Source organism: Homo sapiens, chromosome 2 (assembly GCF_000001405.40).
Source record: "Homo sapiens chromosome 2, GRCh38.p14 Primary Assembly".
In the NCBI taxonomy this organism is placed as follows: domain Eukaryota; kingdom Metazoa; phylum Chordata; class Mammalia; order Primates; family Hominidae; genus Homo; species Homo sapiens.
This window is the reverse complement of record NC_000002.12, coordinates 77,981,124-78,007,794: the sequence shown is the minus strand read 5'-3', so window position 1 is coordinate 78,007,794 and position 26,671 is coordinate 77,981,124. Positions and strand designations below refer to the sequence as shown.

Sequence of the window (26,671 nt, the reverse complement as noted above, 5' to 3'; positions counted from 1 at the left end):
TGTATGTGAATGATTTTATCTCTTTTATGAAATTTCACAAGTGACTTGAATGAGTGTATTATCAACTACTTTGCTCAATATTCTTTGCAGGCTTTTCATTTGTGTTGTTTTTTTGAAGGAGGAAACTTTACTATTTTTTAAATTTTTTATTATTATTGAAATTTTAAAAAATAATTTAAATATTTTAATATTTTTAAACTTTTATTATTTTTTAAATTTTTTTCTACTTTTTTTCCTTCTGTAATAGTTCTGAACCTCCTTTTTTATTTGTAAAAACCTCTTGGACTGGTCATCTAATTTTTAAAAGCCTGTTTTCAGTAAACTTTGTGTTTTTCATATTTTCTCAGAAAATTCTTCAACTCTGTCTTATAAAATTTATATTAAATTTTTAATATCTTTTTTATTTTTTATACTTATAGATTCCAAGAGCGCTTTTCATTTTCTAAAAAAGCTCATTTTAAAAAAGGTTATTCAGGGAGCACATCAGCAAGATGGCAGAATAGGAGTTTCAAGTTTCCAAAAACTTGGAAATAAGCCTGAGATACCTCTGTGAAACATAGAACTGAATAAAACCTGCTTTATATGGATAGGAGACCATTCCTCTCACTTTGAACACACAGTCCCTTCCCATCCCCCAAGTTTGCACAGTGTCACACAGAGAGGATTCATTTTGAGGCCCTTAGTTCCTATAGATGAAAAATAAAACCAGAGATGGACATCTATTTCCCGAGCATTCCAAGACACTTCTCAGGAAGTCTAATTTGGATTCACCTCATAGGGAGTACAGAGGGTAACAGCGTTGCTAGACCACCTGGGTGAGACAGAAACAAAGGAAGGAAGCATTTCTCATAGAAACCAGGATCTTGATTGTAGTTCTCTGTTACTACTGCCCATGAAGTACCCAATAAGAGGCACCGGTGACATTACTCACCAGTAAAGCCAAATTGGTCACTTCTAGAAGCCTCCTGGAAATTTAATGTGGCTTAAGTCCTGAGACAGCTAACCTCCAAACCCAACCTTAGACACCATCCCAAGGCCTGTAAGGGAGATACCTGTGAGGGAGATACTTTTATTTCAGAAAAGCACAGGTGCTATACTTGTGCCACCAGACATTCAAATAGCAGATCAACCTTAAAGCCAATCTGAAGACCTGACTTAGAGAGAGAGATGTCCATCAAAGTATCTTTCAGCAAGACACAGAGTCTAGATGTACACCACCTGGGAGTTCAAAGAGTGGCTAAGCTCAACGTCAAAGCTCACCTCAAGAGCTCACTCAAAGAGAAAGTCACCCACCACAGTGCATTTGGCAAAGTACAGAGGCTAGACTTCAGCCACCTGATCATTCAAACAGCATATTGACTCAATCTCAAAGCCCACTCAACACCTTTCCCAAGGAAGGAAATACCCACCACAGCACCTTTTGGCAAAGCGCAGGGACTGGGCTTGAGCCAATTGGCTTTCTGACAGTGCCTCAATTCAGCCTCAAACCCTACCCCTATGCTTCACCAAGGCAGGAGGCTAAGCATCAACCATGTATTTCTACTAAGCATAGTACCTGGTTCCAAGCATCCTGAGCAAGGACTTTATCTAACCCCAGGACCCAATATGCAATACCGTTCAATTCCAGAATTCAAGTAATGGTACCTTCTGTGAAGGTCTATCACTGTCAAAGAATACCTGTAAAGATGAAAAAAGTGGCTGTGTTCTTAAATGCACAGACACCAATGTACAGACACAAGGATTATGAAGAATTATGACACCTCCAAAAGAAACTAATAAAGCTCTAACAATGGACTTAAAGAAATAGAGATCTGACAAAGAATTCAGAATAGCCCTCTTAAAGAAGTTCAGTGAACTACAAGAATGTATGAAAGAAAATTAAATGAAATTGAAAAATAATACATGAAGTCATTGAGAAATTTGACCAAGAAATAGAAATAATAAAAAATAGAAATCCTAGAGATCAAGAACACAATGATTTAACTAAAAAATTCAGTAGAGAGCTTCAGAAGCAGAGTGGATCAAGCAAAAGAAAGAATGAGCTTGAAAACAAAACATGAAATTATTTAGTCAGAAATGAAAAAAGTAAAACAATTAAAAAGGAAGAAAGCCTTCAGGTATTATCAGACATCATCAAGATAACTAATATTCACAGAATAGGAGTTTCTGGAAAAAAAAAAAAAAAAAGATGGGGGCTGGGGAAAGAGCCAGGAAGTATATGTAAAGAAATAATGGCTGGAAACTTCCCAAATCTGAGGAAAGATGCCAACATCCAGATAAAAGATGTGCACAGATCTACTATTATATTCAACCTGAAGTTAATTCACCAAGACACATAACAGTGAAACTATTAAAAATAAAAGACAAAGAACTGTGAAAGCCACAAAAGTTTAAAACATATCATGTGTGTGGGAGTTCTAAAACAATTATTAAAGATTTATTAGCAAGAGCTCTGCAGGCCGGGAAAATGTAGGATCATATATTTAAAGTTCTGAAGGGAAAAAAATGTCAATCAATATTACTTTACCCAGCAAAGCTGTGTTTCAGAAATAAGGGAGCAATAAAATCATTCTTAGACAAACAAGAGCTAAGGAAGTTCATCACCACTAGGCTTGCGTTAGAGAAATTACTAAAGGGAGTTATTGAAGCTAAAACCAAAGGCCACTAATTAATAACATTAAGACACATTCACAGTGCATTGTCAAATATTAAGCAATAAATTACAAAGAGACTTGATATGGTGAAGTGTGAATTATTTGCATCATCTTTATAATTTCCTTTAACATTTGGTAGTAGATGACTAAAGAGTTAATCATACTCTCCAAGTAAATAAATGGGTGTATCAATTGTGAGCTTTCCTGGCCATTTGTTGGAGGAGGCCTTATGTCATCGCCTTTTGATCTTTCCCCTCAAACTGTTTTTCACATTTCCTAAAGAAACCATTTTAAATTTCTTACCAAGAGATTGAAGACCTGGCTCCAGCCCTCACCTGTGCCTGGTTTCCTCTAGTCAGGAGGACTGGAAGGAGTTCTTTCCAATGTGTCTGGAAAAGGAGAGTGAATTAGTTGTTGAGAACATAAGGTGCAGAGGGGAATTTATGGATCTAACTGTTTCTAAACAGCTTATATTAGTCTATTATATGAGCTTATAATAGTTCATAGTATTTTAGGTCTTCTTCCCACTGTCACCCTAATTTTGAGGTACATGGCACCGCCAAAATCTAAGTCATTTGATAATTCTATGGAGTAAGTTGAGTTGTTTCTTGGATTTTCCTTCTGTTCAAATAGTATTTGGCTTTCTTAGTGCTGTTATGTAAATTATTACTATTCCATCTGAATTCCCTCATTATGTTGCTGTTGCTTCTTTTTTTATTTTCATTACACTCATGAAATTTATGCCTATTTAGGAGATAATTGCTTTACTATAGCATTAGTGGGAGTTTATGAAGAGCAAAATTGGATCAGAAACCATCTTCACCTGGAATTCACCTAGTGTTCTTGGTCTCAAATTGTTTTTCACCTTATAATATTTCTTTTCTCTTTCTAAAAGGCTATATTTGCTTCTAATATATTTGAAGGTGCTAATCAATTTTCTGCTATTTACAACAGTGTTATAACTCCTGAGATTCCCAAATGCTCTTCCTCTTTCCCCATTCTACATTTCCTCTCTATTGGCTTCATGTTATCATTCTCTTTGCATTTCCGCTAATGTATTCATTTTTTGAACAAAATGATATTTGTCTAGAGCCAGCGTTTTCCATTTTTTAAAGTCCTTATATAATAGTATTTCACCAACTTAAAAAAATCTATAACACAGAAAGGGGCAGATGCCCTGTGTCATGTTTACTAATGTCCTAGCGAAAAAAAAAAAAAAAAAAGGTAGATAGGTGGGTCTCAGGCATCATCTCTTTAATAAAGCTCACTTGCAATATTAAAAAAAAAACCCACTGGGCCAGTCATAATGGCCCATGACTGTAATCCCAGCTTTGAAAAGTTAAACTGACAGATTGCCTGAACTCAGGAGTTCTAGAGAAGCCTAGGCAACATGGAGAAACCCTGTCTCTACAAAAAAATACAAAAATTAGCTGAGCATGGTGGCATGTGCCTGTAGTCTCAGCAACTTGGAGGTCTAAGTTGGGAGGATCGCTTGGGCCCATGAGGTTGAGGCTGCAGTGAGCCATGCTCACACCACTGTACTCCATCCTGGATGGCAAAGCGAGACCCCGTCTCAATTAAAAAAAAGAAAGACCTAAAAACCAGCAAGTTTGCTTATTAATCTGACTCCTTCTACATTAAAATTATTGTTAATACTTCCCAGATGTTGCCTTTTTCATGGTTAGTTTTTTTTTATGTTTACTTCTCTATTTTTGTGTATTCATTAATTATTTTCCTGCGAACTTCTGAAAGGCTGCTTTGAAGGCTACTGATACTGTTTTTTGTTGGAGTTTTTTTTGTTTTTGTTTTTGTTTTTGTTTTTTGAGGCAGAGTCTCAATCTGTCGCCAGGCTGGAGTGCAGTGGTGTGATCTTGCTCACTGCAAGCTCTGCCTCTAGAGTTCAAGTGATTCTCCTGCCTCAGCCTCCCAATTAGCTAGGATTACAGGCACGCATCACTCCACCCTGCTAATTTTTGTATTTTTTTTAGTAGAGACAGGGTTTTCCCATGTTGGCCGTGCTGGTCTCGAACTCCTGACCTCAGGTGATCCACCTGCCTTGGCCTCCAAAAGTGCTGGGATTACATGTGTGAGCCACCACGCCTGGCCGCAGATATATTTTTTAAATTTTATGTGTATTAATATATCCGGCACTAGCTTAGAGCTTTGAAATTCATTTCTGTTTTATTTCTTCTCCAAGACACCCCTCAAACCAAAAATTCACAGTAAATCCTTTTGAGGCCTGTGATCATTTTTACGATAATATTATCAGCAACCTCAAAAACCAACAGGGAAATGACAATCTTTATTTTCTAGCTGTAAATAATGATAGGAAAAAAATCTGAGCAAATTTTTATCTTACATTCTGGCTTTCCCATAACCACATTGGCAAAGTTCTGTTTATTTATAAAAGAAAAGATGCATGTTTAGTATTCACTAAAAATTATAGCAACTTAGCAATTTTATGAGACAATACAGAGTTTTGTTTTGCTTTATTTATGTTTTAAACCAATGTTTTATAAAATGATTCATTTCTATATAAAATGGAATTTGACCTAAATTACACTGTCTTGTTTTCATTTAACTTTGAGAAACCACAGTAGTCATAATTCTCTGAATTACATTTTTGAGAAGTCATAAATTCTGATTTTGTTTTTACATCTCAAATGATTGTATTTGATTGAGTCATTTTACTCTTAGATGGTTCAGATTACACTGACACAGCGTAAAATAGCTAGTTGACAACACAAACTCGCTGTAATCAACATCCCTTTACCTGCCTCCAATCTTCTTTCAATAGTGAAAAACTCACTGAAAACTCAGAGTATAATACTGTGTAAACTTAAGTAAAAATTTCATGGAAGGCATAAAAAATAAGTGTTATCTCGAAATTTCTAAATCTTTACAAATTTGGGTTACAAAAAAGTATCAAGTAACAATATTTTAGGCTAAAATATTACTCAAAGACACAGCATACATAATTTGTCTTTTTGATTTTTAGAGACGGAGTTTGGCTGTGTTGCCCAGGCTGGAGTGTAGTGGTGTGAGCTCTGCTTACTGTAAACTCTGCGCCTAACCCCAGGTTCAAGCAATTCTCTTGCCTTAGCCTCTCAAGTAGCTGGGATTACAGGTATGTGCCACCATGCCCAGCTAATTTTTGTATTTTAAGTAGAGATGGGGTTTTATCATATTGGCCAGACTGGTCTTGAACTCTTGGCCTCAAGCGATCAGCCTAACTTGGCCTCTCATAATGTTGGGATTACAAACGTGAGCTACTGTGCCCAGTGAAATTTGCCTTTGTATAAAAAGACTAGACCCAAATATGGAATGAAATCATTCAGTATAGGTATTCATTTTTCTTTTAGCACAGGATCTCCTCTTCTGAGAATAAACAGATATTTTAGCTTACAGAATCTGTGTGTTATTGAGTGAGTTTGTGGAGGTCCTATCATATGATTAAGCAACAATAGCACACACAAACATATCTTTTAATTATTTCATCTTCTTAAATATTAATGACCTGATAATTAAGTGCCACTAATAGTTCCAAGAGTCAACGATTTAATTACTTTCAGGTAAATAGTCACAATAAAAAATGTTGATGTGTCCACTCTTTAACTATTTTATGATAGTTGTTAGAGTTGTCAAAAGTTATGAAGATACTTTTTAAATAATCTATATTCAATAATATTTAAAATTATTTTAATTGATCTTTAACACAGAGAGTTATTTAATTTTTTTCTTTATGGGAAAACTTCTCTCTTTACTATACTGAGAAAGTGTATGTAGGTATGTGTGGTTGGGAGGGAAAGAAAAAGGCATCAGCCTACCTAGTGAATGCTGACTAATCAAGACAAATAATGATGGCAAGACATCTGCAACCAAATGACCCTCACAACCTGTTGGTGTAAATTGATATGTTTAATTGACTGTTATCTTCAAATAAATAGTAAATTCTGTAAATTGTTGATAGAATGTGGTTTACATAGAAGTATGAAGTATCTACTATATACTGAGATATTAATGTATCAAATTATTTTGAAATAATTTGTAGTACAGTTTAGTTTCTCACATTAAAACTGATGAGCTCTCTTCATTTATTTCAGATATATATACTATCACATATTTAATATAATCATTATTCTCAATCATAATCATAATTCTCTATTATTTTGATTTGTGTTTGGAATTCAATGCCTTCTGTGTTCTTTCCACAGTTTTTACATTTACTAAAAAATGGACATCATATTAAACACTATCTTTCTTTTTTTTGATACGTGTAAATTAGTCTGTTTTCTTTGAAATTCTTCCATATACCCATTTGAGAAAATAACTCACTCTGTTTGGTTTCTTTTTTTTATTGTTTTAATAAAGTCAGAATCAATAATACCTTGGTCTAAGAAGACAAATAGAACAGCAGATTCACCTCATCTCTTCAAATCGTGATAAAATTGTCTATTCATAAACTACCAAAAAAAGTTTTCAAGTGATTATTTTTTAGAAAAATGATTACATTAGTTTTTCTTACCAAATTGTGATGAGAACCAGTTTTAAACAGGAGTAAAAAACTTTGTAAAAGTTTATATAGATAGAGTTTTTTTTTTTTCATTTTTGCTTTCTTTTTTAGAAAGTATTCCCTGGTTCAGATGTTCTTATACTATTTTTAAGGCATACATTTTGTAGACATTTCCTCTGATTTTTAGTACCAAAAGTTAGGGCAAACAATGAATTAAAATTATAATTATCTGCAGTTAATAAAAGGAATGAATAACTTACTATATAATATGCTATCTTCAATGAAAACATTAATTCGAGTTGTAGATAAAATGTTTTTCTAATATTTGTGATATGACAGAAAAATAAATTGAAAATAGAATGTCTGAAGTCAAAAATGAATATGACTTACTCAATTTTGCAGCTGGTAATTGGGCCCTGGAGGATTTATCACACAGCGTTACTCTCTTTACCTGTGGTACCTGTCTCTTCCATCTTTTTCTCTTAGCAGTCTCATAGTCAGGTTTTTTGACAGGAACCCTGAGGACAAACACCTAAAAAAAGAAAATAAAGCTAGCTTTTGGGGTCAAATTAAAAGGATCTGGGCTTCATTCAGTTAAGCTATCCTCTCAGGAAGTGAATCATACATAATATGAAAGAAATTACTATTTTGGTCTGAAGGGGAAAAGTCAAATTTGAACTTAGGCAGTCATCTTCTGTAACTGCAGTACCATGTTTTGTTTAGAGAACAGTTTAATACTTTCTCTTAATATTCTACTGAAATTATACCATGCCTTTTAACCTGACTGCTATCTTCAGGAATTTATTGTGGTTTGGAATATATTCACTGAAATTAGAATGGTTTTGAGCATTATATTTAAGGACATAGAGCCTGGTGGTTAACAGCTGGATTTCTAAAACCATGAGACACCCCCAAGAATGACTAAAATTAAAAAGACTGAAAACACGAAAATTGGAGGAAAATGTGGGACAATCATAACTCACTTATTGCTAATGGGAGTGTGCAATGGTATAACCATTTGCAGAACTGTTTGCCAGTTTCTTGAAAAGTTGGCATCTACCTTCTGACTCAGCAATTCTACTCCAAGTTATTTACTTTCTAAAGAGAAACATAGGTCCACAAAAAGAGACCTGTAAAAGAATAGTTAGAGTTTTATGAATTATCCTCCTTCCCCCAAAGTAGAAACTACTCACATGTTTATCAGTACAAGACTGGATGAGGAGTCTGTGGCATATTATACAAGGGAATACTAGTTCACAATAAAAAAAATAGGCAATTAAATAGGCAACAATATAGATAAAACTTTAAAACTTTATGTTGCGTGAAAGATGCCAAGACAAAATATTATGTACCATCTTTTCATTTATGTGAAATTCAAGAATAGGCAAAGCTAGGTAAGAACATTGGTTATTTTCTCAGGAATAGGGATTGACTGTGGAAAGCCTCTGAGCTGTTAAGAGCTGTTCTATAATGTGGATGGAGCAGTGTTTACCCTAGTGTATATAACTGTCAAAGCTCATTGAACAGTTCGGATCTGTACATTTTAATGTTTGCAGTTATGTTCCAATTTGAAAATTCTTCTTTAAGCTAGAAATCTACCACCTGAAAGGATTAGAATGCATGCTCCTCATCTTGATAGCTGTATCTCTGTGGTAAGTTTACTTAACTTGCCTGTGCTTCTGTAAAGGAAGTGTCAGGATTATAGTACCTCTATCGGGAAGAAACCAGTAGTGACATATGGTGAACTCAATATATTTTAGCTATTATCATGTTTTCATGGCCTATTTTTGGTATTTTTTTTCAATTACAACCACTTTAATAATAACTATAATTATATTTTATTGGCCAAAATTTAGTGTATATTTGATTTTAATATATCATTTTGTCTTTTATCACATGAACTATTTTTGTGTGTGTATGTATATGTACAGAGAAAATTTAATATATTCAGAATTAAATGTACACACCTATGGATAAAGAAACAATATTCAATGTGTTTAAATTACTTGCCAACAATCACAAAGCTAGATTTGACAAAAGATATTAACTCAGATCTCTCTTCTCTCTGATTTCTTCACTTAGGATCTTTCACAGGAATTCTCAAAAGGAAAATAATGCATAGGATAGGACTTCTAAGTTGACTAATTGGTTGGTTGATTCATTTGAAAATTTATTCAATTTTTGTGCTGTGTATGTAATTATTATTCCCTAACCAGGAATTAAGGAAATTTTGCACTCTCTGATTGCATGACTTCTTCAGAGTAAATGTTTATTTTATTTTATTAATTGCTATAATATGGCCTCATTTTGTATTTAAATTGGCCTCTCAACTTTGAATTTTGTTTCTTTAAACATGTCTTATTAAAAACCATTTGATGAATGTATCTAATCAAATCATGTCTACATCAATTATAGTATCATTACTAATATAATTATTATATTAAAAGTTATACCATATAATTTAAAAATTCATTTAACATAACTTGTTCATCATCTCTATTTTTGCCTAGTTCAACATGGCTGCCATAAACTGGATATTGATATCTATGAGTAAGTTATCGACATTTCCTTAGAACCCTATCTACTTTGTATTTTTCTTGCATGTCTAATTTATGCCTATGTAATATAGATATCAAGTAATGAAACCATATCATTCATTCTATAAATATGCTTTTTCCTTATCAATTTCTGTTTTCCTTGGGATTTTAATTACAATTATGTTGAATCTGTATATTCAATTGAGAAAATTCTATACCTTACAATATTGAGTATTTCTTTAAATCATTCATTAAGAAATCACTTTGTCCCAGCAATATTTGCTTGTTTTAATTTATAGGTTTTTATATATTTTTGTTACATAGTTAATGTATTGAGAGTTAATGTAATGATTTCCATTAATAATGCTACTGTTGTTTTACCTTAGTTTTTATTTTCTGTTGTTGCTGACTTGTAAATATACATTTTATTTTTTAACAAGTGGGGACTCGTTAGGTTGGTGCAAAAGTAGTTGCGTTTTTTGCCATTAAAGTAATAGCAAAGACCACAATTACTTTTGCACTAACCTAATATGTTGCCTAGGCTGGTCTCGAACTCCTGGGCTCAAGCAATCCACCGACCTTTGGCCTGCCAAAGTGCTGAAATTATAGGTGTGATCCACTGCACCTAGCCTACAATTATTTTTTCTAAATATTAAACTTGAACCCAGCAATGATAATTTCCTATTGATTTTAGTAGTTTGCCTATAAATTATTCTGGATTTTCTACATATATGAATATTTTGACATTTCACTATTTTTCTGTAATAGCCTTAGAACAAATACTGCTACCTAAGGCTTGTTTATTGTTGTTATTATTGGAAATATAATTTTAAAAGAATGTATTTCTTAAATTCACAGTTTTTTATCTTGGTTTATATTGTCGATTCTTTTGAAAGACCCATGTTATTTATATCCTGAGAGAGAATAGTTCTAACATTTTTTCCATATATATATATATATATATATATATATATATATGCACACACATACATACACACACGTTTACATGTTATATATTTTTAAGTGTATGTAAATGTATTAGATATTTGTTATATGTATGTGGTTTTCCCAGCATTAAAGAAATATAACAATCACACTGAGGAATTTTGAAAGGCTGAGATGAGACCCAGATGCACGTTATATTACCTTCTTTCTAAACCTCTTCTCAGATTTCTACTTTTCCAATATGTATTTCTCTTGGTCAATGTTTGTAGATTTTATTTTGAGACTAATATAGGAAATTTTAATTTTGATTGATGCCAAGATCGTGAGAACATGGAGGGAAATAGAACACTGACATGGATCTATTTCCTATTAGGAACCTGACTTTAATTGAGTTGAATGAGTAGTGGAGAAAGGACCAGAAACCAATACATTTATAAATCTGTTTCACAAGTAGCTTGATAAAAATTTGATCAAATTGTGCTCATTAGTGGTTAAAATATATGTTAAAATAAGACTTTGTGACAATTGAGGAAAAAGAAAGGCTTCTTAGGAATCCAGGTGAAAAAGTTTCATATAGATTTTGGGAGGAGCAGTTATTACCATGTATGTCTATAACGCAGCAATGCTCTGGCATCATGAATGTTGGAAGCAATATGGGCATTCAGAAACTGCACCCTTTCCATGTCAGAGGTATTTTCATAGCAGCTAGTAGCAGAAGTATGGTTTCTCTGAGTTGTTCTCTAGGCAGTGAATCCAATGGACAAGTTGAAGGTAGAACAGATAGAAAGGACAGGGTGACGTCAATGCATTTGTATACATAATGGCAGGTATTTAGCTATGCCTCAAGTAATAGGAGAGAATTTCATCACTGCAAAGCATTCAAATATTCAATAATGTTACTATATCTAAAATAATACAAGGGCTCCAGATTCATTCATTAATGTACCAAATGGTATTAAGAGTCCAGTTGCATATCCATGTGCTTAGTGTTTGATTCATATAGTAGTTAAAATTGGGAACAGAAATCATTTAACAATACAATAATTTTATGACAACAGATTAATGATTAATTTTAAAGAACTAAATCTCTATCAAAATAATTATAAAATATGATTCAGCAGGTTTATATGATTTTAAAAAATAAAATCATAGAAGTAGAAACACAAATATTTTTCTAAACAAGGTAAAAGCTCCACGTAGTTATTTTTCCATATACTATATGATAATGTATTCAGATATTCTTGTGAAATATTTTAAACTATGGAAATATGTTTAGTAAAATATAAATATCTCCATTTGTATTCACCCTAGAAGTTATCATTGTCAAAACTTTCTTTGCAAATTTTGTCACCTTTTATGTAGTTATAGATCTGTATCTATATTTAAACATATTTATATATAGACACATTCACAAGCATAAACATACACACATAAAATAGACATAAAACATAAAAATAGACATATTTTATCCTTTGTATATACTGTGGATAGTACTATTTGTATTTTTAATTTTTTTCTTAATAAGCTTCAATGTATTTATAAGCTATATTGAAAACACTTACACATGTGCATAAAATATAAAACTTCTACATTAAAATGATAAAAAGCCAACTCTGGTTTCATCAGTAACAAAATAATAGATCAGTTGATGATACTGTTATGAGAAAAGTAATTTCCTCATTTGGAATGGAATGGAGTATCAGCCAGAGTTAGAGTAGCAATGAGCATATTTAATTCTACCCTTGGGAAAGCTTAGAATAAAACTAATTAATATACAGTAAGGTTGAGATGAATAGGAGTTTTAATGAATTTGCTTAGATACAATATTTTTATACTGAATCTATGTTTCTTGGAAATTTTGTAGGTCTTAAAGTCATAATGAATTCCCAGGTTGCAAAGTACAGTTTCTGTAAATGATGAAATAAAGATTTATGAATTCATATAGAATCAGTTATCTGTCTAATGGCATTATTGAATGGAAGCAATCCCCACTGTAATAATAAAAACACAAAACAAAATAGGTAAGCAAGTTAACAATGCCTAGTTTAATGTTTCATTTTTTTACAAGGTGATTGATGATCACTATGGTAAGTGGAATTCTCCCATCTGTATTGGATAGTCAAAAATCAATCAATTATTTAATCAATGAAGGCTCTATTACATTTTTTATACTGTTAGCTCTGCAGCAGGAGTTAAGAGCAATCTAGAATAAATGAAAAATATGACCTTCACCAGCAAGGAGGGAATATGAAATTGAAAATTTAAGATCAGTACACTATAAATATTTACATCATCTAAATCACAATATTTGCAATACATTTATCATAAAATATATGTCAGTAATTTGAAGAATAATTCTAGTTAGTTCAATAGTATTATCAAGGAAAAGGAAGTTTACTGTGTATTTTATTAGAAATAGAAGAATTCCTAAGGGTGTATGAGTGGAATATTGGGTAACATTTGTATAAACAAACAGGAAACAGAGATCATTCCAACAAAATAAATACACATGAAGACAGTATTAAGAATGATATGATCGGGAGGCCAAGGCGGATGGAGCACCTGAGGTCAGGAGTTTGAGACCAACCTGACCAAAATGTTCCCCGTCTCTACTAAAAATACAAAAATTAGCCGAGTTTGGTGACACATACCTGTAATCCCAGCTACTCGGGAGGCTGAGGCAGGAGAATTGCTTGAACCCAGGAGGTGGAGGTTGCAGTGAGCCGAGACTGTGCCATTGTACTCCAGCCTGAGCCACAAGAGTGAAACTCCATCTCAAAAAACAAAGAAAAAAACAAAAAACACAAAGAATGATATGTTCATGGGTGTTTAAGAAGATTTGGTGGACTAATGGGCTACCCAATCTTAATGAGTCAAACCGAAAGATAACGCGAGTGAGCAAAATCAGCCTCATCTCCTGCACACCCTTCTTATATCACCATTTGCAGGGGGTTGTTATTCATCATTAAGTGAGGGAAAAAGGGATATTCTGCTTGAGTGTAAAAGTTGACTTATGTAAATTAAATCATGCTTCCTAAGTGAAAATAATTCTATACCCATTTTTAAATTTAGGCTTCAAATGGGAAAGTGAAATGATGCAATCATAGTATTTAATGACAGTAGGATTAAAAATGATATACCTTTGGTACGTGTCATAATTTTGTAAAAATCTATTTATTATTGATTTTAAAAATTAGCATCCAACATTGTACAGATGATAAGGATAATTGCCTACATTTTATCATCCAGGTAGTTTTATAAGTATATTTTTCTCACTTATGGTTACAGAGCAATTTGTTTGGTTGTCTAGTTTGGTAAGTTTCATGGGAGGATATAGAATATAACTCAAAATAAAAACAGCTTGCTCATTTTTGATCTATTCCTGGTAAGCAGCCAGTTTATGGACACAACAGAATATAAGAATAAAGATGAAAATGTTACTTCAAAGGTGGAAATACCTACTAGTGCATGGTTAGATTGTAGTGATTCCCGGAAGGGAATGCCACAGCCTTACACAATCTTGAATGATATTGTTCCTGAAATAAATCATGGGTGTCACGGGACTTTGAATAAAAATGTCCTCACAAATAAAGAATGTGGTAATAAAAGAAAAGGAAAATAAAAAGTATGAAAGCTAGCCTGGGAAATTTTCATGGGCCAGACTTTGGAAGAAGATAGTGAGTGGAGTATGTAAAAATTATTACAGGCCAGGATTCATCACTTTTTTCCACACAATATTGGCGTATTGTTTCCCTAAATAGAAAGAATCCTGGAAAATATAGTGGAGCTTTGTGACTAGGATAGGATGGAGACAGAATTTGGTAACATAAAGCAGTCTTTAATTATCCTTCCTGAGATCAAAAAGTAGCTTAAGATAATGTCAGAAATGAGTAATACAAATAGAATATGTCTTATTCCAGTTTGTTTGGATAAAATCACAAAGCTATGTGTCTTAATATAATGGACACAATACATAAAGTATCCAGGGCTTGAGAATAATTCACTATGAAATGCAGCCATTTACCATCAACCATATGTTTATATGATAAAACCTTTCGCATAAAGCAAATATACATTTTCAACAATTTTATTTACATATCAAATCTTCAAAAGTAGTCATTTGGTTCACTTTTAAATGAACTTCATTAAAATTAAGGTATAATTTATTATTAATCTTAAAATCTATGACAGGAGTATATTTCCTCCAGGAGGTTGCATATAAATGTAAAATTCAAAGGATTCACTCTCCTGTGAGAAGAAAACTTTAAGTATCCAATCTTAAACCAGGTAAATCAAGGATCAATTGTTTGTATTAAGAAAGTCTCATGGTAGGCATCCTTTAATGATGACTCTTCCAACTTAGATTTTAATTGTGAATTATTTATAACATGCAACTTAAATAATTTACATTTGGACTTTTGAACATTCTTATGAAAAAATGAGACTTGCCACCACAGATTTAATTATTGAAGCATTAATTTTCTCATATTTATCATCATATAAATAAACACAAAACAAAACTAAATAGACACAGTAAAAGAATGTAAAACTGTAATCAAAATTGTCCTGTAAAAATAAATTCTAAAATACTAAATAAAATATTAGCACATTGAATCAAGCATTATATATATATATATATATATGCATAAAGTTGGATTTTTCAAGAATACAAGGTGGTTTACTTGTATAAACTAAATCAACATAGTTCCTTACATTAATAGATTACAGGAATATAGGGAAAAATATTGATCAATATAGAATTTCCAGAGAATACATGTGAAAAAATTCAATACTATTTCTGATTTTAAAACACTCTTGACAAACGGTGCATAGAAAGGAACTTCCTTATCCTAATAAAGAGCATCTGGAAAAATCAAAAAGTAAATATCAGTATCATTAATACTGAAATGTAAAAAATTTATTTTTAAAATCAGAAGCAACATTAAAATAGGCGCTATGACTACTTCCATTCATCATTATATGGGAGGTCCTAAAGTGCTTAGGAAGAATTAAAATCAAATGTAACACTTGTAAGAATCAGAAAGGAATAAACCAAGGTATTAAAGTTAAATAAAATAACAAATAGAGACAAAAAGGTCAGTATACAAACATTCAAATATCAATTATGTCTCTATGCTTAGAGACAAAGCATTAAAAAATGGAATAAAAGAATAAAATTTTTAACCACATAAATAAGAACTCAAGGAATTCATCAAATAAAACACTTGCAACCTATCAGAGGAAAATATTTAACTGTAGGAATACATTACATAGCCCATAGGTAAACAGAAATATAATTTCTTCATAAATATAAAAACCTAATATTTTAACAAAGTAAAAAACATCAAAATGACACACAGGTTTATGCTATATCATTGAATTCTGGTGGAGTTTTGAATGGAATTCAACATAAAATTTGTGTGGCAGGAAAAAAGGCCAATAATCCTGAAGACCGTTGTGAAAGAAGATTGAGTAAATGTAAATTTCAGACCTAGACAAATTGACCAGTGGCACTCAGTAGGGAGCCTAGACGCACACTCATACATGTGGAACTTTAATGATCATAAAGGTACCATCTGAGAAGATGAAAAGAAATGATGGTTCAATATAAATATATTTTTCATATCTAAAAAATGTTTTAAAAATTGACTCATACCCAATGCCACAAAAATAATTCTAAGACAATGAAATATTTGAAGTCAAAATAATTATTTACAAGAAAATGTAGAAAGCTATTGTGTAATTCAGGATAGAAAATAATTTCTTAACTAAAAAAATAGGATAACCATAAATAAAATGATGCATTATAATTATAAAATGTTCAAATGCAACAGACACTGTGGCCTACTTAAGGGGGCCCCCTTAAGAATGGAGGGTGGGAGGAGGGAGAGAATCAGAAAAAAGAACTATTGGGTACTAGGCTTAGTTCCTGGGTGACAAAATAATCTGTACAATAAATCCCTGTGACAGGATAAAGAACAAACCTGCACATGTACCCCTGATCCTAAAATAAAGGTTAAATGAATAAATAAATAAAATTTTCTATAATGCAAATAAAATAAAATAAAAATAAAATGTTCTAATGTTTCAAATATTCCATAAGAAAACACCAAATAATGCCATTGGCAGTTTACACCTGCCACACGTATAATTACCAAAGTGTTATTATTTAAAACATGCAGACATATAACTACATACTTACATGCATATAATCTCCTACAAATAAAAAATAATACAATGTACAAATTTGTAGGCAAAAGAAATAAACAGGCATTTCAGAAGATATGAACCACCCATAATGAATAAATGTGAAATGATTAGTAATGTTAGTGAAAATTTAACTGACATTAAATAATTAAGTAAATAAAAAAACACAAAAATACAATTCACACCCATTAAGATGGCAAATTTAACTCTGAAAACTTAATTTTTGAATTATTTAAAAAACAAAAGAAGCTCATATTGTTGGGAGTAAAAGTTGAAAAAAACTGATTTGAGGAAAAATTGTCATATTCTTGTAAATGTGTACAGACCCTAAATCCCAACAATCTGTCTCCTAAATTACCTTTAACCTTCCCTTGCCTGCATTCAGTATGCACCAGAAGGAAGACACGAGTATCCACTGTTGGATACAAGTGTCCACTATTTGGAGAACAGATAAATGGAGTATCCACTTGTATTGGATAACAGTGTCCACTCTTTGGATAACAGATAAATGGAGTAGTGTCTAAGTATCTTAATGGGCACATAAAAAGTAGAATTAATAAGATCTACTATTTGATAGCACAACAGGGTGACTATAGTCAATAATAACTTAATTACACATTTTAAAATAACTTAAAAAGTATAATTGGATTCTTTGTAACTCAAAGGATAAATACTTGAGGGGATGGATACCTGATTTTCCATGATGTGCTTATTTCACATTGCATGTCTTTATCAAAACATCTTCTATACCGGATTAATATATACACCTACGATGTACCCACAAAAAATTAAAATTAAAATAAAAAATAATAAAAATGCAACTAAAATCTAGTGTATATATATATATATATACTATATAAACCTATATACATAGTATATATATAAACCAATACCTATATATAGTGTGTGTGAATAGTTTTATACAAGAAAATGAATCAAACCTAAAAACAAAAGTTTACATTAAAAAGAAAGATTCAGAGGAAAATACACAGACAGAAAACATGCACAAATGTAAAAAAGTAACAAAACATATATAATATAGTTTTATAGATACATGCATGTATCTATTACATGTTTAATAATGTTCAAGACATTATTAAAAAACAAACAGAGTAATAATTTTGAAAATGTCAGTATACCTGTTTAGTGAAGAGGAAGAAGTGAATAGGATCAGAAAGACAAGCACTTTAGGGAATCAAATAACAATGAACAAGTTATATTTACTTTTTAAAAAGATTGTTCCTAATGAGAACACTTGGACACAGGATGGGGAACACCACACACCGGGGCCTGTCGTGGGGTGAGGGGAGGGCGGAGGGATAGCTTTAGGAGATATACCTAATGTAAATGACGAGTTAATGGGTGCAGCACACCAACATGGCACAGGTATACATATGTAACAAACCTGCACGTTATGCACATGTACCCTAGAACTTAAAGTATAATAATAATAAAAAAAATAAAAAAGAATGTTCCTAAATTTCAATTAGGCAGGGAATTGTCCATTTTTTTAAAGTTTTATCTTATTTATTTAGTTTTATAATGATATTACAATTTCAACATTTTGAGGTTTGTGGAAATTTATTTTGTGACTTATTACATGGTTATTTTTTGTCATTGCTCTTTGTGTGTTTAAAACACGTGTCTTGCAAGGAGTACAAATTGTTAGAGAAGGTTGCGAATTCAGTCTAAAAATCCCCTGTATGCTTTGTTAGTTTTTTCTAAGTCATCTGAAGTTTTGAGAGATTTGTTGTTGTTGTTCTTATTGAATTCTCTCATCTGCATTACAAGGTTTTAAATTTCCAGACATTTGTATGTCTTTCATATATGTCTTCATAATTTGAATAGGATTTATTTATTATTTATTTATTTTTATTTATTTTTTGAAGCAACAAAAGCAGATATTTATTGAAAATGAAAGCACACTCCACTGGGTGTGAGCAAGCCTGAGCAAGCAGCTCAAGAGCGTGGTTAAAGAATTTTCTGGGGTTTAAATACCCTCTAGAGGTTTCCATTGGTTACTTGGTGTATGCCCTATGTAAATGAAGAGGATATTTCCTGTCATAGCTGACGTGTTAACATTTGATTGAGTTCTAGGAAGTCCTTAGGTTTTCTGCCTCCAGGTCCTATTCTCCTACCTCACTAAGTCTCTCTTTTCAGGGTTCTCCTCTGTCCCAGGACAGGTCCAGAAATGTCATCAAGGAGCGAAGACGCCAGTGTGGCTGAGCTGTTAACCCAAGCTCAAGAGAAAGTTTCCTTTACTCTTCTCTCTCCTTTGCCCAAGTGGAAGGGGTCTCTTCCCATAGGCACCGCAGCTGGCTATGTGCTGGTTCACACTTGAAGTCAGCATGGTTTTGAGTGTCACCCAAGGCCCACAGTGAATACTGCCCAGCTACCATTGCTGCTTGTTGAGGGTCCAAGGGCACTTTAGTTAGCTCATGATGAATTCTGCAAAAATTGGGTCCTTTCCTTGAAGGCAGTGAGTTCCATTCTGGCCCAGGATGTATTTCAAAATGTCCTCCAGGATTTATTTTTAGAGCAGTTTTAGGTTTACAGCAAAAGTGAGCAGAAGGTTCAGGGATTTGCAGTATAGCCCCCGCCTGTCCCACACGTGCATGCACGGCCTCTCCCACCACCTACATCCAGTGCCACAGTGGTACATTTATTACATTGACAATACATCATCATCACCAAATACCATAGTTTACATTAGGCTTCACTCTTGACGTTGTACATTCTATGTGTTTGGAATGACATGTATCCACCATCATAGTATCATACAGAATAGTTCCACTGTCCTAAAAATCTCTGTAATCCACCAAGTCAGCCTTCCCTTTCCATTAACACTAGGCAACCATTGATCTGTATATGGTCTCCATAGTTTTGCCTTTTTCAGAATGACCCTATAGTTGAAATCATATATTATGTAGCTTTTTCAGGTTGGCTTTTTTCACTTAATAATATATATTTAAGGATTGTTTGTCTTTTCATGGATTGATAGGGCATTTCTATTTAATGCTGAAAAAATATTCTGTAGTTTAAAGGTACGACAATTTATTTTACTATTCACTTACTGAAGGACGTCTTGGCTGCTTCCAAGTTTTGACAACCATGAATAAAGCTGCTATAAACATCAATGTACAGGTTTTTGTGTGAACATAAGTTTTGAACTCATTTAGGTAAATTCCAAGAGGTACAATTCATGGGCCATATGCTAAGAGTATCTTCAGCTTTCGAAGAAACTGCCGAACTGTCTTCCGAAGTGGCTACACAATTTGCATTTCCACCAACATTGTGTAATAGTTCTTGTTCCACATCCTTGCCAGCATTTGGTGTTTCCAGTGTTTTGCATTTTGGTGATCCTAACAGGTACATTGTAGAGGTACCTCATTGTTTTAATTTGCATTTCCCTAATGACACATGATGTGAGATTTTCTTATGCTTATTTGCCAAATGTATATCTTCTTTGGTGAGATATATGTTTGGGTGTTTTGCACATTTTTTTAATCAACTTATTTTTTTATTGTTGCTTTTGAACAAATTTTTGTTTATTTTGGATAACAGTTTTTATCAGACATATATTTTGCAAATATATTCTCTCAGTGTCTGGTCTTCTTATTCCTTTGACAGTGTCTTTCATAAAGCAGAAAAATTTAATTTTAATAAAGTACAGCTTATCGATTATTTCTTTCCTGGATCATATCTTGGTGTTGTATTAAAAATCTCACCAAATCTAGATTTTCTCCTATGTTATATTCTATGATTTTGTAGTTCCGTGTTTTACATTTAAGTGTATGATCCATTTTGAGTTAATTTTTGTGAAGTAGCATTTGTTAACCATTATATATTTTGAAACCTGATTTTTAGGATATAACAGGTTCATGGTTATTACATAATCTTAGTTTAAAGTAACTTTTTTCATCATCAAATTAAACACAAGTTTCAAGATTTGTCTAATATTTCAGAGTAATAAACGAAGAGAGACTGGATAATCTATTAAATAATAGGAAAATATTTTCTGGAAATGAAGCAAATAAACATACCTGTAACAAAAAGCAGAAAAACAAAAAGAACATCTTGTTGATATGTTGCAATAAATTTACAATGTCAAAGATATACCAATAATTAATAAAAACAGAAAAATAGCTCCTAACAACAAATAAACAGATTTTTATTAGCTAACATATTGGCAAAACGGGGTTTAAGAGGACTACAGAGCAAAATCTTTTTTTTTTTTGCAGAAAAAAAATCATTTTGAATTTCAAATCTACAAACGGTCAAAATATCATCCAAACAGGAAAAAATAAAATTATGCTCAATGATTTAAATACTGAAGAATTTTAACACTTGTAGAACACATCTGAAAGAAAACAAAATAAAATCAGTCAGCAAAATAAAACTAAATCCACAAAGTAATATGTAGGATACAAGAAAGGAGTCATAAAAAAGAATTCAATAATATATATAGGTAAGTTTAAATTGAGTCTATTTTTATATTAAATGCAATGTGTTTAATTTCCCTACAAAAGACATAAATTCTCAGATTAGATTTTGGGGAAAAACAGCTCTAGGGCATTTGCAATAAGAACACTTAAAAATATTACCAAAATTATTGAAAATGAAAACATGGAAAATACCAGAAAGAAATAGTTATTACTACAAAAAGTAGTAGTGTCAGTTATAATTTTAAGCAACATAAACAAGTAAGAATAAATATTTTAGAAGTGCGATGTTATATTTCTTGGTTTAAGTGGTAGATTGATATATGTTTTCTATCATACTAATAAACAACTTGTAAATATCAAATGCTTCATAATTTAGAAATGTAAAACATGATAATCAAATCCAAAAGTAATCTAACACATTTAAAAACTAAACATATTTAGGCCAGGTGCAGTGGCTCAAGCCTGTAATCCCAGCCCTTTGGGAGACCAAGGCAGGTGGATCACCTGAGGTCAGGAGTTCGAGACCAGTCTGACCAACATGGAGAAACCCTGTCTCTACTAAAACTACAAAATTAGCCAGGCGTGGTCGCTCATGCCTGTAATCCCAGCTACTCGGGAGGCTGAGACAGGAGAATCACTTGAACCTGGGAGGTGGAGGTTGTGGTGAGCCAAGATTGTACTATTGCACTCCAGCCTGGGCAACAAGAGTGAAACTCCATCTCAAAAAAAAAACAACAACCAAAAAACTAAACATATTTACATATATAGTTCCCAGGTTTGCATATATATGTGTATGCACACGCTTTTGTTTTAGAATCAAATTGTGCTTCATAAATGTGTTCTGTGAACTTTAGACATGTTGAGAATTCCCCATATTCCCTATATTGATAATTCCCTATAGATGTAAATATTTTTAATAAAATTATTAATAACAAAGTAACTTTCCTTATATTTGAGAAAGCTATAAGTAATGTTATTACCTAACTACCTTGAGGCCATTGCATTATTTTTAATGATTTATACCTGACTTTTTTATTAGAACTGTCTCTTTTATTGTACTTTTTATTGAAATATCACAGTTGTACATATTTCGGGTGTACCTGTGGTATCTTGGTATATTCATAGAATGGACTTCAAGTTCCATTCATGTTGCTGCCACTGACAGGATTTCATTCTTCTTTATAGCTGAATAATATTTCATTGTGTATATATACCACATTTTATTTACCCATTCATTCATTGATGGATGCTTAAGGTGATTTCATACCATGGCTAGCGTGAATAGTGCTGCTGCAACAGTGCAAATATCTCTTTGATATACCGATTTCCTTTCTTTTGTTTGTATATCCAGCAGTGGGATTGCTACATCAAACGGTAGTTCTATTTTTAGTTTTTTTAGGAATCTACATACTTTTTTCCATAATGGCTGTACTGCTTTACATTTCCATCAACAGTGTACAACACAACAGTGTTCTCCACATTCTTGACACAGTTGTCTATTTTTTTGTCTTCTAACTGGGATGAGATGATATCTCATTGTAGTTTTGATTTGCATTTCCCTGATGATTAATTATTTTGCGTATTTTTTATATACCCATTAGCCACTTACATATCTTCTTTGGAGAAATGACTCTTCAGATGATTTGCACATTTTTTAATCAGATTATTTGTGGTTTTGCTATTGAGTTACTGATTCATTCTGTTGGGTATTATTGCCTTCTCAGATGGAGAGTTTGCAAGTATTTTCTTTAATTCCATAGGTTCTCTCTTCACTCTGTCGATTGTTTCCTTTGTTGTGCACAAGTTTTTAGATGTATATAATCTCACTTACCAATTATACTTTTGCTGTCTGTGCTTTTGAGGTGTTACACAATAGGTCTTTGTCTAGACCCACGTTCTGAAGCATTTCTCCAATGTTTTCTTCCTGTAGTTTCAAGGTTTCAGATCTTACATGCAAGTTTTTAATAGATTTTATTTGATTTTTTTATATGATGAGAGATAGTAGTCTAGTTTTATTCTTCTGCATATGGATATTTAGTCTATCCAGCACCATTTATTGAACACACTATCATATACCCAGTGTTACATTCTTGGTAACTTTGTCAAAAATGAGTTGGCTGTAAATATTTCAATTTATTTTTGAGTTCTCCTTTCAATTCTGTTGGTCTATGTGTCTGTTTGGATGCCAGTACCATGTTGTTTTGGTAATCATAGCTTTGTAGTATATTTTGAATTCAGGTAGTATAATGCTTCCAGCTTTATTCTTTTTAAAATATTTTTTAACTTTTATTTTAGGTTCAGGGAACATGTGTAGGTTTGTTATACAGGTAAACTGCATGTCTCGGGGGTTTGGTGTTCAGATTATCTCATCACCTAGGTAATAAGCATAGCACTCAACAGATAGATTTTTGATCCTCTCTCTTTTCCCACCCTCCACACTCAAGTAAATCCCCGGTATCTATTGACCCCCTCTTTGAGTCCATGTGTTCTCGTTGTTCAGCTCCCACTTATAAGTGAGAAATTTCAGTATTTGTTTTCCTGTTTCTACATGAGTTTGCTTTTTATATTATCATTTAGCTTCATTCATGTTGCTGCAAAGGACATTCTCTTTCTTTTATATTGCTGCATTGCATTCCATGATGTATATGTACCATATTTTCTTTATCCAGTCTGTCACTGATGGGCATTTAGGTTGATTTCATGCATTTGCTATTGTGAATAGTGCTGTAATAAACACACATATGCATGTGTTTTTATAGTAGAATGATTTATATTCCTTTAGGTATATACCCAATAATAGGATTGCTGAGTTAAATGGTAATTCTGTTTTAACTTCTTTAAGGAATAATCACATTGCTTTCCACAATGGCTGAGCTATCTCACATTTCCATTAGCAGTGTATAAGAGTTCTTTTTTACCAGTAACCTTGCTAGCACATGTTATTTTTTGACTTCTTAGTAGTAGCCATTCTGACTGGTATGAATAGTAGCCATTCTGATTGTGATAATATCTCATTGTGGTTTTGATTTGCATTTCTCTAATGATTAGTGATTTTGAGCATTTTTTTCATATGCTTGTTGGGCATGTGTCTGTCTTCTTTTGAAAAGTATCTGTTCATGTTCTTTGTCCACATTTTAATGTAATTGTTTGGTTTTTGCTTGTTAATTTGTTTAAATTCCTTCTAGCTTCTAGACATTAGACCTTTATTGGATGCATAGTTTACAAATATTTTCTCCCATTTGGTAGTTTGTCTGTTTACTCTGTTGGTAGTTTCTTTTGTCGTGCAGAAGCTCTTTAGTTTAATTAGGTCCCATTCATCAATTTTTATTTTTGTTGCAATTGCTGTTGGCATTTTTGTCATGAAATTTTTGCCAGGTCTTTTGTCCAGAATAATATTGCCTAATTTGTCTTCCAGAGTTTTTATAGCTTTAGGTTTTACATTTAATTCTTTAAATCCTTCTTCAGTTGATTTTTGTATATGTTATAAGGAAAGGGACCAGTTTCAATCTTCAGCATATGGCTAGACAGATAGCAAAGGACCATTTACTGAATAGGGATTCCTTTCCTCATTGCTTCTTTTTTAAAACTTTGTCAAAGCCAGTTGGTTGTAGTATGTGGCATTATTTCTGAGCTCTGTATTCTGCTTCGTTGGTCTATGTGTCTGTTTTTGTGCCAAAACCATGCTGTTTTGGTTACTGTAGCCTTGCAGTTAGTTTGAAGTCAGGTAATGTGATGCCTCTAGCTTTGTTCTCTTTGTTTAGGTTTGCCTTGGCTATTTAGGCTCTTCTTTGTTTTCATATGAATTTTAAAACAGTTGTTTCTAAGTCTGTGAAGAATATTATAGGTAGTTTGACAGGAATACCATTGAATCTGTAAATTGCTTTTGGATGTATGACCATTTTAACAATATAGATTCAGCTGGTCATGGTTGCTCACACCTGTAATCCCAGCACTTTTGGAGGCCAAGGCAGGTGGATCACTTGAGCTCAGGAGTTTGAGACCAGCCTGGGCAACATGGCGAAACCCTGTCTCTATAAATAATACAAAATATTAGCTGGGCATGGTGATGCATATTTGTGGTCCCAGCTACTGTGGAGGCTACAGTGGCAGGATGACTTGAGCCCAGGAGTTTGAGACTGCAGTGAGTTGAAATTGCAACACTGCGCTCCAGCATAAACAACAGAGTGAGACCCTGTTTCACAATTTAAAGAAAGGAAACTCACACACATAAAATAGTTTTTTTTTAATCCATGACATGGAATATTTTTCCATATGTTGTGTGTCATCTCCAATTTATTTGAGCAGTGTTTTGTAATTCTTGTTGTAGAGATCTTTCAACTCTGATTAGCTGTATTTCTATGTATTTCATTCTTCTGGTGTTAATTGTGAATGAAATTACATTCTTGATTTGGCTCATAGCTTGGATATTCTTGGTGTAGAGGAATGCTACTGATTTTTGTCCATTTATTTTGTACCTTGAAACTTTGCTGAAGTTTTTTAGTTGTTGTTGTTGTTGTTTTGCTTGTTTGTTTGTTTGGTTTTTGTTTTTTTTTATTGGGTCAAGGAGCTCTGGGGCAGAGATCATGGGGTTTTCTAGGTATAAAATCATATCATCTGTGAACAGGGATAGTTTGACTTTCTCTCTTCTTATTTAAATGCTTTTTATTTATTTATTTTGCCTGATTTCTCTGGCCAGGATTTCAATTACTGTGTTGAATAGTAGTGGTGAGAGAAGACACCCTTGTCTTGCTCTGGTTTTCAAAGGGAATGCTTCCACCTTTTGCCCATTTAGTATAATGTTGGCTGTGATTTTGTCATAGATAGCTCTTATTATTTTGAAGAATGTTCCTTCAATGCCTAGTTTGTTGAGGGTTTTTAACATGAAGGAATGTTGAATTTTATCAGAAACCTTTTCTGCGTCTATTGAGATAATCATGTGGTTTCTGTTTTTAGTTCTGTTTGAGGATGAATCATTTTTTACTAATTTGCATATGTTCAACCAGCCTTGCATTCAATGGATGAAGCCTACTTGATTGTATTGAGTTAGCTTTCTGATGTGCTGCTCGATTTGGTTTGCTAGTATTTTCTTGAGGATTTGTGCATCTGCGTTCATCAAGGATGTTGGCCTGAAGTTTTCTTTTGTTGAGTCTCTTCCGGTTTTTAGTAACAAGATGATGCTGGTCTCATAGAATGAGTTAGGAAGGAGTCCCTCTTCCTCAAACTTTTGGAATAGTTTCTGTGAGAATGGTACCCACTCTTCTTTATATATCTCATAGAAATTGGCTGTGAATCCATCAGGTCCTAGACTTTTTTTTCTGGTTGTTAGGCCTTTATTTTTTTTTTTTAACCAATTTAACTTCAGAACTTGTA

The 26,671-nt window shown here is 32.7% G+C and overlaps 2 long non-coding RNA genes across 2 annotated transcripts in view; both read left to right on the top strand.

The window, feature by feature from the left end:
• The window catches only part of LOC101927967 (uncharacterized), a 547,036-nt gene that overhangs the window by 282,937 nt on the left and 237,428 nt on the right, over positions 1-26,671 (top strand). The window lies entirely within an intron of this gene.
• LOC105374816 (uncharacterized) lies at positions 8,660-19,993 on the top strand. The gene is made up of 3 exons (XR_940264.3): positions 8,660-8,819; positions 9,678-9,717; positions 19,017-19,993. It is a non-coding gene; the product is annotated as an uncharacterized LOC105374816 (long non-coding RNA).